Raw genomic sequence first — 12,459 nt, 5'->3', positions numbered from 1 at the left:
ATGGCGGCCGGGCGGAGACGCTCCTCACTTTCCAGACTGGGCAGCCAGGCAGAGGGGCTCCTCACATCCCAGACGATGGGCGGCCAGGCAGAGACACTCCTCACTTCCCAGACGGGGTGGCAGCCGGGCAGAGGCTGCAATCTCGGCACTTTGGGAGGCCAAGGCAGGCGGCTGCTCCTTGCCCTCGGGCCCCGCGGGGCCCGTCCGCTCCTCCAGCCGCTGCCTCCCGGGCGGCGCTCGCCGGCGCGGCGGCAAAGACTGAGACAGCTCCGCTGCCCGCTGAACTCCATCCTCCCGGCGGTCGGGCGGCGGCGGCTGCGGTCGGTCGCGGCAGCGGCTCCGCTTCATATCTGCAGCTGGGGCCCGCGGGCGTCAGCGCCGCGACTGTCCTGGCTCCGCACTGCCCCGGGCCGCAGCGCAGCCGCGCCAACCACCAGCCGCGGCCACCATGGCCAGACAGGCTCCCTAATTGTCTGACTTTCATTTTATTTTATTTTATTTTATTTTTTTGAGATGGAATCTCACTCTGTTGCCCAGGCTGGAGTGCAGTGGTACAATCTCGGCTCACTGCAACCTCTGCCTCCCAGGTTCAAGCGATCCTCCTGCCTTAGCCCCGCTAGTAGCTGGACTTACAGGCACATGCCACCATGCCCAGCTAATTTTTGTATTTTTAGTAGAGACAGGGTTTCATCATGTTGGCCAGGCTGGTCTCGAACTCCTGACCTCAGGTGATCCACCTGCCTTGGCTTCCTAAAGTGCTGGGATTACAGGCATGAGCCACCACACCCAGCCAATTGTCTGACTTTTTGATGGGGAGATTATCCTGGGTTATCTGGATGGGCCCACTGTAATCACAAGGGTCCTCATCAATGGAAGAGGGAGGCAGAGGAGTCAGTGTCACCTGGAAAATTAAAGGAAATGGATTATCCATTAGAGCCTCCAAAAAAGAACACAACCCTGCCAGCATCTTGATTTTACCCTAATAAGACGTATTTTAGACCTCTGACCTCCAAAACTCAAATACATTTGTGTTGTTTTCCACCACTAATTTGTGTCAATTTGTTACAGCAGATATAGGAAACATCTGTTGGTTAATATAAAAGTCTGGCTTAAAAAAATAATTATTTTTAAAAGACATATGACATGTTAAAACAAACACTATAACTATATTCTGGTGTTTATAACATATGTAGGTGTAGTACATCTGAGAGCAATAACTCAAAGGACTAGGCCAGAGTGAAACCGCCTTTGCAAAAATTATAACTGACGGAGTTATGACAGTGAGAGATATCAGACCTAACCAACTCCATCTCACTTCTAACCTTTAATCTGTCCTTGTTCATTCCTGGGCATTGGCCAAACCAACTTTGGGAAGGAATTCAGTTCATGGTTTGACTCTGAAACAAAATTGATAATAGCCCTTTCTCAAAAAGACCCCCTTCATGCCTGGGGATAAGTCTGCCTTTGAGGGGTAATATGGTTTGGCTATGTTCCCACCCAAATCTCATCTTGAATTCCCACATGTTATGGGAGGGACCCAGTGGGAGGTAACTGAATCATGAGAGCAGCATCTTTCCCATACTGATCTCATGATAGTGAATAAGTCTCATGGGATCTGATGGTTTTATCTGGGGGAATTTCCCTGCACAAGCTCTCTCTCTTTGCCTGCTGCCATCCATGTAAAACATGACTCACTCCTCCTTGCCTTCCACCATGATTGTGAGGCCTCCCCAGCCATGTGGAACTGTAAGTCCATTAAACCTCTTACTTTTGTAAATTTCCCATTCGTGGGTATGTCTTTATAAGTAGTGTGAAAATGGAGTAATACACAGGACTAACAAATTAGCTACCAGATTAGAAATTATGGTTTAGGGATTGTGCAACTTCTGGTTCCAAGAGTCTGAACCTCCTCAAATTGTTCCTAGGGATAACATCACTATTGTAAAACCTAAGATCAGTGCCTGACATATTTTGCAGGCCCTGCACTGGATGGATCAGCTGACACTACCCAGACCAGTAATCTGGCTCACCCAGTTCTGCCATCCCACCCAGAAGCAAAACACAGCAAGAAAACCTCATTTTGACCCCCTATAATTCCATCTCCAACCTGACCAATCAGCACTCCCCACTTCCCAAGTCCCTACCTACCAAATTATCTTTAAAAACTCTGATCCTCGAATGCTTAGGGAGACTGATTTGAATAATAATAAAACTCCAACTCCAGTCTCTGGGTGTATTACTTTTTTTTTTTTTTTTTTTTTTTGAGACAGTCTTGCTCTGTCACCCAGGCTGGAGTACAGTGGTGCAACTCCACTCACTGCAACCTCTGCCTCCCTGGTTCAAGCGATTCTCCTGCCTTAGCCTCCCGAGTAGCTGGGATTACAGGTGTGTGCCACCATGCCTGGCTAATTTTTTTTTTTTTTTTTGAGACGGAGTTTCGCTCTTGTTAACCAGGCTGCAGTGCAATGGTGCAATCTCAGCTCACTGCAACCTCCGCCTCCCCGATTCAAGCAATTCTTCTGCCTCAGCCCAGCCTCCTGAGTAGCTGGGGTTACAGGGATGCACCACCACACCCAGCTAATTTTTTTTTTTTGAGATGGAGTCTCGCCCTGTCACCCAGGCTAGAGTGCAATGGCATGATCTCAGCTCACTGCAACCTCCGCCTCCTGGGTTCAAACAATTCTCCTGCCTCAGCCTCCCAAGTAGCTGGGATTACAGGTGCCCACCACCATATCCAGCTAATTTTTGTATTTTTAGTAGAGACAGGGCTTCACCATGTTGGCCAGGCTAGTCTCGAACTCCTGACCTGAGGGGATCCGCCCACCTTGGCCTCCCAAAGTGCTGGGATTACAGGTGTGAGCCTCTGTGCCAGGCCTAATTTTGTATTTTTAGTAGAGATGGGGTATCACCATGTTGGTCAGGCTGGTCTTGAACTCCTGATCTCAGGTGATTCACCTGCCTCAGCCTCTCAAAGTGCTGGGATTACAGGCATGTCCCACTGTACCCAGCCCATAAAGTTTAAATTTTTAAGTATTTTTCATGTATTGGTCCTTTTATCATTTTAAAATGTCCCTCTTTTTCTCTGGTAATACTCCTTGTCTTGAAGTTTATTTTCCTGGATACTAATTTCCCACATTTCTTTGATTAGTGTTTACATGATATATTTCCCCAACCATCTACCTTCAATTTATTTGTATTTTTGTATTTAAAATTAATCTCTTGACCAGGCAGGGTGGCTTATCCCTGTAATCCCAACACTTTGCAAGGCCAAGGCAGGTGGATTGCTTTAGCCCAGGATTTCAAGACCAGTCGGGGCAACACGGTGAAACCTCAACTCTATAAAAAAATACAAAAATCAGCCAGGTGATGGTGTGCACCTGTAGTCCCAGCCACTTGGGGGTCTGATGTAGGAGGATCACTTGAGCCCAGGAGGTCGAAGTTGCAGTAAGCCATCATTGCACCATCGCACTCCAGGCTGGGTGACAGAGTGAGACACTGCCTCAAAAAACTAAAACTAAAAATAAAATCCCTCTTGTAGACAGCACATGAATCTAGCTCTTTTTTCAGTCTGACAGTCTCTGTTTTTTAACTGTAGCGTTTAGTCCACTTACATTTAGTGTAATTATTGATATGTTTAAATTTAAGGCTCCATTTGCTACTTGTTTTCTGTTTGTTTCATCTGTTGACAGAACAAGTAGACAAAAATTCAGCAAATACATAGAAGACTTGAACAATACTATCAAACATTTGATCAAAGTGATACTTACAGAATACCCAACAACCGAAGAATTGATGTTCTTTTCAAGAGGGTATGCAACATTCCCCAGATGGGCCACATTCTGGGCTATAAAACACGTCTCAATAAATTTTTAAAAATCTTACAGAATATGTTCTCTGAATTACATGAGAAATCAGTAAGAATAGGCTTTCTAGAAAAGTCTCAAATATTTGGTAGTTAAACAATATACTTCTAGGCTGGGTGCAGTGGCTCATGTCTGTAATCCCAGCACTTTGGGAGGCCAAGGCAGGAGGATTTCTTGAGTCTGGGAGTTCGAGATCAGCCTGGGCAACATGGTGAGACCCTGTCTCTGCAAATAATAAAAAATTAGCTAGGAGTGGTGGCACATGCCTGTAGTCCTAGCTACTCAGGAGGCTGAAGTGGGAGGATCACTTGAGCCCAGGAGGTTGAGGCTGCAGTGAGCTGTGATCATGTCACTGCACACCATTCTGGGCTACGGAGCAAGACCCTGACTCAAAAAAAAGAAAAAAAGACTTCTAATTAACCCACAAGACAAAGAAGAAATAACAAAGGAAATTATAAGAATTTTATTTTATTTTTGTTTTTTTAAAAATTTGAGGCTGGGTGTGATGGCTCATGCCTGTAATCCCAGCACTTTGGGAGGCCAAGGCAGGTGGATCACCTGAGGTCAGGAATTCGAGACCAGCCTGGCCAACATGATGAAACCCCGTCTCTACTAAATACAAAAAAATCAGCTGGGCATGGCGGCGCATGCCTGTAATCCCAGCTACTCGGGAGGCTGAAGCAGGATAATCACTGGAACCTGGGAGGTTGAGGTTGTAGTGAGCCGAGATTGCACCACTGCACTCCAGCCTGGGCAACAAGAGCAAAACTCCGTCTCAAAAAAAAAAAAAAAAAAATTGAGACAGGGTCTTGCTCTGTTGCCCAGGGTGGAGTACAGTGGCTTGATCATGGCTTACTGCAGCCTCCAACTCCTGGACTCAAGTGATCCTCCCACCTCAGCCTCCTGAATAGTTGGGACCACAGGTGTGCACCACCATGTTTTGTTATTAATAATTTTTTTTTTTTTTTTTTGAGGTGGAGTCTTGCTCTGTCTCCCAGGCTGGAGTGCAGTGGTGCGATCTCGGCTCACTGCAAGTTCCGCCTCCCAGGTTCATGCCATTCTCCTGCCTCAGCCTCCTGAGTAGCTGGGACTACAGGTGTCCGCCACCATGCCCAGCTAATTTTTTTTGTATTTTTAGTGGAGACAGGGTTTCACTGTGTTAGCCAGGAAGGTCTTGATCTCCTGACCTTGTGATCTGCCCACCTCGGCCTCCCAAAGTGCTGGGATTACAGGCATGAGCCACCGCTCCTGCCCAATAATTTTTTAAATTTAATATTACTTTTTAGTAGAGCCAAGGCCTTGCTTTGTTGCCCAGGCTGGTCTCGAACTCGTGGCCGTCTGCCTCAGCCTCCCAAAGTGCTGGTATTACAGGCATGAGACACCACTCCTGGCCATAAGACATTTTTATCTGAGCAATAATAAAATACAATAGTCAAAATGTATACAGTGTAGATAAAGAGTGCTTAGAGATAAATTTATAGCTTACAAGAGAATAGAGGCTTAAAATCAATTATCTAATGATCTAAGTTTCTACCTTAAGAAGCTGGAGGGCCAGGCATAGTGGCTCACTCCTGTAATCCCGGCACTTTGGGAGGCTGAGGCAGGTGGATCACTTGAATCCAGGAGTTCAAGACCAGCCTGGACAAGATAGCAAAACCCTGTCTCTACAAAAAAAAAAAAAAAAAAAAAAAATTAGTTGGGCATGGTGACATGCGCCTGTAGTCCCAGCTACTCAGGAGGCTGAGGTGGGAGGATCGCATCAGCCCAGGAGGCGGAGGTTGCAGTGAGCCAAGATCACACCGCTGCCTGGGTGACAGAGTGAGACCCTCTCTCAAAAAATAAAATAAAATAAGCTGGGCATGGTGCCTTACACCTGTAATCCCAGCACTTTGGGAGGCTGAGGTGGGTGGATCATTTGAGGTCAAGAGTTCAAGACCAGGTTGGCCAACATGGTGAGACCCCATCTCTACTAAAAATACAAAAATTAGCTGGGTGTGGTGGGGCACGCCTGTAGTCCCAGCTACTCAGGGAGGCTGAGGCAGGAGAATCACTTGAACCCAGGAGGCAGAGGTTGCAGTGAGCTGAGATCACACCACTGCACTGTAGCCTGGGCGACAGAGTGAGACTCTGTCCCAAAAATAAATAAATAAATAAATAAATAAATGTGAAAAAAATAAAAATAAAATAAAAAACAGAAGCTGGAGGAAGCTGAGCAAATTAAATATAAAGTAGAAGGAAGGAGGCTGGGCATGGTGGCTCACGTCTGTAATCCCAGCACTTTGGGAGGCTGAGGCAGAAGGATCACTTGAGGCCAGGAGTTTGAGACCAGCCTGGGCAACATAGCAAGACCCTGTCCATACAAAATAAAAAATTAGCTGGAAGTGGTGGTGCATACCTATAATCTGAGCTACTAAGGAGGCTAAGGTGAGAGGATCCCTTGAGCCCAAGAAGTGGAGGCTGCAGTCAGCTGTGATTACACCACTAAACTCCAGCCTGGGTGACAGAGTAAGACCCTTCCTCAAAACAAAACAAAACAAAAACAAAAACAACAAAAAAACCAAAGTAGAAGGAAGGAAATAATAAAGATCAAGTAAAATCCAATGAAACGGAAAAGAGAGAAACACTAAGAAAATTAACAAAGCCAATAGATGGTCTTTTAAAAAGATAAAGAAAATAGATACACTTCTAGCAAGATAATCAAGAATAAAATGAAGAAGCATAAAGTATATATCAGGAATGAGAGGATGCCACTATAGATCCTATAGACAGACATCAAAGGACAAAGGGAGGAGAACTGGAAAGATGATGGCTATGTTAGCAGCTTTTCAATCTCTTTGAATTCCCAAATAAAAACTGAGAGACAGCAAATGTATAGTTAAGAAAAAAAACAATAGGCCAGGTGCAGTGGCTCATGCCTGTAATCCCAGCACTTTGGGAGGCTGAAGTGGGCGGATCACCTGAGGTCAGGAGTTTAAGACCAGTCTGGTCAACAGAATGAAAACCCCATCCCTACTAAAAATAAAAAAAATTAGCCAGGTTTGGTGGTGCATCCCTGTAATCTCAGCTACTCGGGAGGCTGAGACATGAGAATTGCTTGAACCCAGGAGGCAGAAGTTGCAGTGAGCCGAGATCACACCATTGCACTCCAGCCTGGGAAACAGAGTGAGACTCTGTCTCCAAAATAAAATAAAATAAAATAATTAATTAATTAATTTTAAAAATAAAATGAGGCTGGACGTGGTGGCTCATGCCTGTCATCCCAGCACTTTGGGAGGCCAAGGTGGGCTTGATCACGAGGTCAGGAGATCGAGATCATCCTGGCTAACACAGTGAAACCCCGTCTCTACTAAAAATACTAAAAATTAGCCAGGCGTGGTGGCGGGCGACTGTAGTCCCAGCTAGTCAGTAGGCGGAGGCAGGAGAATGGTGTGAACCCGGGAGGCGGAGGTTGCAGTGAGCCAAGATCGGGCCACTGCACTCCAGCCTGGGTGACAGAGCAAGACTCCATCATGAAAAAATAATAATAATAAAATAAATAAAAAATAAAATAAAATGAAATAGCAAGTGAGTGAAAGGAGCCCACAGTGAGAAGGACTAAAGGGCAGGAGCAGGTCTGGTTCCCTATAAACTGTCAAAACTGACCCATGAGGGCTTCCTTCTATTACCATGCCCCACACTGAGGATAAATTCCTGGGAGAGAGGATGTGCACAGTGGCTCATGCCTGTAATCCCAGCTCTTTGGGAGGCCAAGGCAGAAGGATCACTTGAGCCCTGTAGTGTGAGACTAGCCCAGGCAACATAGCAAGACCCCGTCTCTACAAAAATTAAAAAAACTAACTGGGTGTGGTGGCACACGCCTGTGGTCCCGGCTACTCAGGAGGCTGAGGTGAGAGGATCACTTGAACCCAGGAGGTCGAGGCTGCAGTGAGCAGAGATAGTGCTACTTGCACTTCAGCCTGGGTGACAGAATGAGACACTGTATCAAAAAATAAAAGAAAGAAAGAAAGCAATAGCTTTGAGTGGAATCAATATGTAGTAGGATGAGGACAACAGAGGAAAAATGAGGAGCTAAAGACCAACATGGAGGAGGGGAACAGAGCCAGGAAATTGCAGAAAGCTGCCACAGGAAACAACAGACAAGGGAGCTCTACAATGTTGTAAAAACTCTCCTGAACCCCACCTCATTCTTTCACTTCAGATAATTTCACATAAAATGAGCAACAGAAAAGTAACAAAGTCAAGGCTGGGCACAGTGGCTCAGGCCTGTAATCCCAGCACTTTGGGAGGCTTAGGTGAGCGGATCACTTGAGGTCAGGAGTTCGAGACCAGCCTGGCCAACATGGTGAAATTCCGTCTCTACTAAAAATACAAAAATTAGCCGGGCATGGTGGCTACTTGGGTCCCAGCTACTCGGGAGGCTGAGGCAGGAGAATCGCTTAAACCCGGGAGGCAGAGGTTGCAGTGAACTGAGATCTTGCCACTGCACTCCAGCCTGGGCAACAGAGTGAGACTGTCTACAAAAAGGCTGGGCGTGGTGGCTCACCCTGTAATCTCAGCACTTTGGGAGGCCGAGTCGGGTGGATCACGAGGTCAAGAGATCAAGACCATCCTGGCCAGCGTGGTGAAACCCTGTCTCTACTAAAAATACAAAAATTAGCTGGGCGTGGTGACACACGCCTGTGGTCCAGCTACTCAAGAGGCTGAGGTGGGAAGATCACTTGAACCCGGGAGGTCGAGACTGCAGTGAGCTGTGATCATGCCACTGTACTCCAGCCTGTCTTAAAAAATAAAATGACCAGAAGAATAACATTACTACAGACAATGAAAGTACACCAAAAAGATGTGCAACAAAACATATCAAAATACAAACAAGCTAAAGGACACCAAAAAAATGATATAATATATTCATGAAAGAACATAAATCAGAACTAGAAAAACTCAGAAATGAGATGACAGAACTAATTCTGAAAGGAATCAGGAAAGAACTGGAAATACAAGAAAAAAAGCATTGTAGAAATGAAGACTAGGGCTGGGTGCGGTGGCTCATGCCTGTAATCCCAGCACTTTGGGAGGCCGAGGCAGGAAGATCACTTTGAGCTCAGGAGTTCAAGACCAGCCTGGCTAACATGGCAAAACCCCATCTCTACAAAAGAAAAAAAAAATTAGCTGGGTGTGGTGGCTCGTGCCTGTGGTCCCAGCTACTCAGGAGGCTGAGGTAGGAGGATCGCCTGAGCCCTGGAGGTAGAGGCTGCAGTGAGCTGGGATCATACCACTGCACTCAAGCCTGGGTGACAGAGCAAGGCCCTGTCTCAAAATAAATAAGATAAAATAAAATAAAGTTATAGAATTAAGAACACCATTTTGCAATCTCCAATGAATTAATAAATACACGCAACACTTGAAAAAAATCCCAAGCATAGAGACAACTAGATTTATATGCCTTCTTTTTTTTTTTTTTTTTTTTTGAGATGGAATCTCACTCTGTCACCCAGGCTGAAGTGCAATGGTGTGATCTTGGCTCACTGCAACCTCCACCTCCCAGGTTCAGCGATTCTCATGCCTCAGCCTCCCCAGTAGCTAGGATTACAGGAACCTGCTGCCACACCTGGCTAATTTTTGTATTTTTATTTGAGACAGGGTTTTGCCATGTTTGGCAGCCTGGTCTCGAACTCCTGACTTTAGGTGATCCACCTGCCTCGGCCTTCCAAAATGCTGGGATTACAGGTATGAGCCACTGTGCCCCACTGATTCATATGCCTTCCAATGTCTTGCCAAAGTGATCAAATCAGAGTTTAATCCAGCCTCTGGATCCAACTACTAATTTGCAGGACATAGCAAGGACACAGAACATTTAGAACTGCATCATGAGTATGTAATCAGCAAAATCCAGACTGCAGTAAATTCTGTAAGTCAGATAGCCCAGAATCTTCAACAAACAAATTGTAAGAAATTAAGAGGCTGGGCACAGTGGCTCACGCCTGTAATCCAAGCACGTTGGGAGGTCAAGGCTGGCAGATTGCCTGAGGTCAGGAGTTTGAGACTAGCCTGGCCAACACGGCAAAACCCGGTCTCTACTAAAACTACAAAAAAAAAAAAAAATTAGGCAGGCATGGTGGCATGCACCTGTAATCTAGCTACTCAGGAGGCTGAGGCAGGAGAATCGCTCGAACGTGGGAGGCAGAGGTTGCGGTGAGCCAAGATCACACCACTGCACTCCAGCCTGGGTGACAGAGTGAGGCTCTGTCTCAAAAAAAAAAAAAAAAAAAAAAAAAATCCCACAAAAATTAGCCAGGCATGGTGGCACGCACCTGTAGTCCCAGCTACTCGGGTGGCTGAGGTGGGAGGATGGCTTGAGCCTGGAAGGCAGAGACTGCAGAGAGTCAAGATCATGCCACTGCTCTCCAGCCTGGACGTCAGAGTAAGACTCTGTTTCCAAATAAACAAATAAATAACAAAAAGAAAATTGTAAGAAATTAAGAAAAGGATGAAAGTGGAACCTTAAAAGTTAAGAGATTTGGCCGGGCGCGGTGGCTCACACTTGTAATCGCAGCACTTTGGGAGGCCGAGGTGGGTGGATCACCTGAGGTCAGGAGTTCGAAACCAGCCTGGCCAACATGGCGAAACCCCGTCTCTACTAAAAATACAAAAATTAGCCAGGCGCGGTGGTGGGCACCTGTGATCCCAGCTACTCAGGAGGCTGAGGCAGGAGAATCGCTTGAACCCAGGAGGCAGAGGTTGCAGTGAGCCGAGATCACGCCATTGCACTCAGCCTGGGCAACAGAGACTCCGTCTAAAAAAAAAAAATTAAGAGACTTGGCTGGGTGCGGTCGGTGACTCATGTCTGTAATCCCAGCATGTTGGGAGGCCAAGGTGGGCAGATCACTTGAGGTCAGGAGTTCGAGACCAGCATGGCCAACATGGTAAGACCCCCGTCTCTACTAAAAATAAAAAATTAGTTGGGTGTGGTGGTGTGCCCCTGTAATCCCAGCTATTCCAGAGGGTAAGGCAGGAGAATCACCTCAGAATCAAGAGATAGAGGTTGCAGTGAGCCGAGATCTCACCACCACACTCCAGCCTGGGCGACAGAGCAAGATCCTGTCTCAAAAAAAAAAAAAAAGAATAACAAGGAAATGTTACGATTTTTTTTTTTATATACAGGGTCTCACTCTGTCACCCAGGCTGGAGTGTGGTGGCACGATCTCAGCTCACTGCAACCTCCGCTTCCCAGGCTCAAGCAATTCTCCTGCCTCAGCCTCCTCAGTAGCTGGGATTACTGGCACCTGCCACCACGCCCGGCTAATTTTTCTTTTTTTTGAGACAAAGTCTGGCTCTATCACCAGGCTGGAGTGCAGTGGCGAGATCCCGGCTCACTGCAACCTCTGCCTCCTGGGTTCAGGAGATTCTCCTGCCTCAGTCTCCCGAGTAGCTGGGACTACAGGCGCACACCACCATGCCCAGCTAATTTTCGCATTTTTAGTAGAGACGGGGTTTCACCCTGTTGGCCAGGATGGTCTCGATCTCTTGACCTCATGATCTGCCTGCCTCGGCCTCCCAAAGTGCTGGGATTACAGGCGTGAGCAACCATGCCCAACTTAATTTTTTGATTTTTTGTAAGAATGAGGTCTCACTGTGTTGCCCACACTGGTCTTGAACTCCTGAGCTCAAACGATCCTCCTGCCTCGGCCTCCCAAAGTGTTAGGATTACAGGCATGAGCCACAACGCCTGGCCAGAAATGTTGTGAATAATATTATGCCAAAAACATCGACAATTTAGATAAAATGGACACATTTTTTGAAAAAAAAAAAAACCTACCAAAACTAAATCAAAATGAAAGTAAAAGTCTAAATAGCCTTATATCTACTAAAGGAAACTGTTATCAAAAACATCCCCCATACCAGTCTAGGCCACGTGGCAAAACTCTGGCTCTACAAAAAAAATACAAATTAGCCAGGCATGGTGTCACGCCTGTAGTACCAGCTACTCAGGAGCCTGAGGTCGGGGGATCACCTGAGCCTGGGGAGGTCAAGGCTGCAGTGAGCCATGATCGTGTCACTGCGCTCCAGTCTGGGCATCACTGTAAGACCCCGCCTCAAAAAACCAAAAAACGTCCCCGTAAAGAAAACTCTAGGCCCAGATGATTTCACTAAGTAAATTATGTCAAGTACTAAATACTACTACCAACCTTACACAAAGATAAAGCAAAGGAGGAGGAAACATTACTTCACTCTTTTTAGGAGGCCAGCATAACCCTGGTACCAAAATTTTTTTTTTTTTTTTTGAGACAGAGTTTCACTCCTTTTGCCCAGGCTGGAGTGCAATGGCACGATCTCGGCTCACTGCAACCTCTGCCTCCCGGGTTCAAGCGATTCTCGTGCCTCAGCCTCCCAAGTAGCTGGAATTACAGGTGCCTACCACCATGCCCGGCTTTTTTTGTATTTTTAGTAGAGATGGGGTTTCACCATGTTGGCCAGGGTGGTCTCGATCTCTCAACCTCATGATCCGCCCACCTCGGCCTCCCAAAGTGCTGGGATTACAGGCGTGAGCCACCGCGCCCGGCCCCAAAACTTTTAAAAATTAAGTCTGTGGGAAAATTAA

At 46.5% G+C, this 12,459-nt stretch overlaps 1 annotated feature.

The window, feature by feature from the left end:
- Positions 1,536 to 1,736: a silencer, noted in NCBI's record as "peak204 fragment used in MPRA reporter construct". NCBI's record gives its function as "represses an SCP1 promoter by STARR-seq MPRAs in K562 erythroleukemia cells {active_cell/tissue: K562}" and the evidence as "EXISTENCE:reporter gene assay evidence [ECO:0000049][PMID:32103011]".

This window comes from Homo sapiens, chromosome 1, assembly GCF_000001405.40.
Source record: "Homo sapiens chromosome 1, GRCh38.p14 Primary Assembly".
NCBI lineage: Eukaryota > Metazoa > Chordata > Mammalia > Primates > Hominidae > Homo > Homo sapiens.
This window is presented reverse-complemented; position numbering and strand designations above follow the sequence as displayed.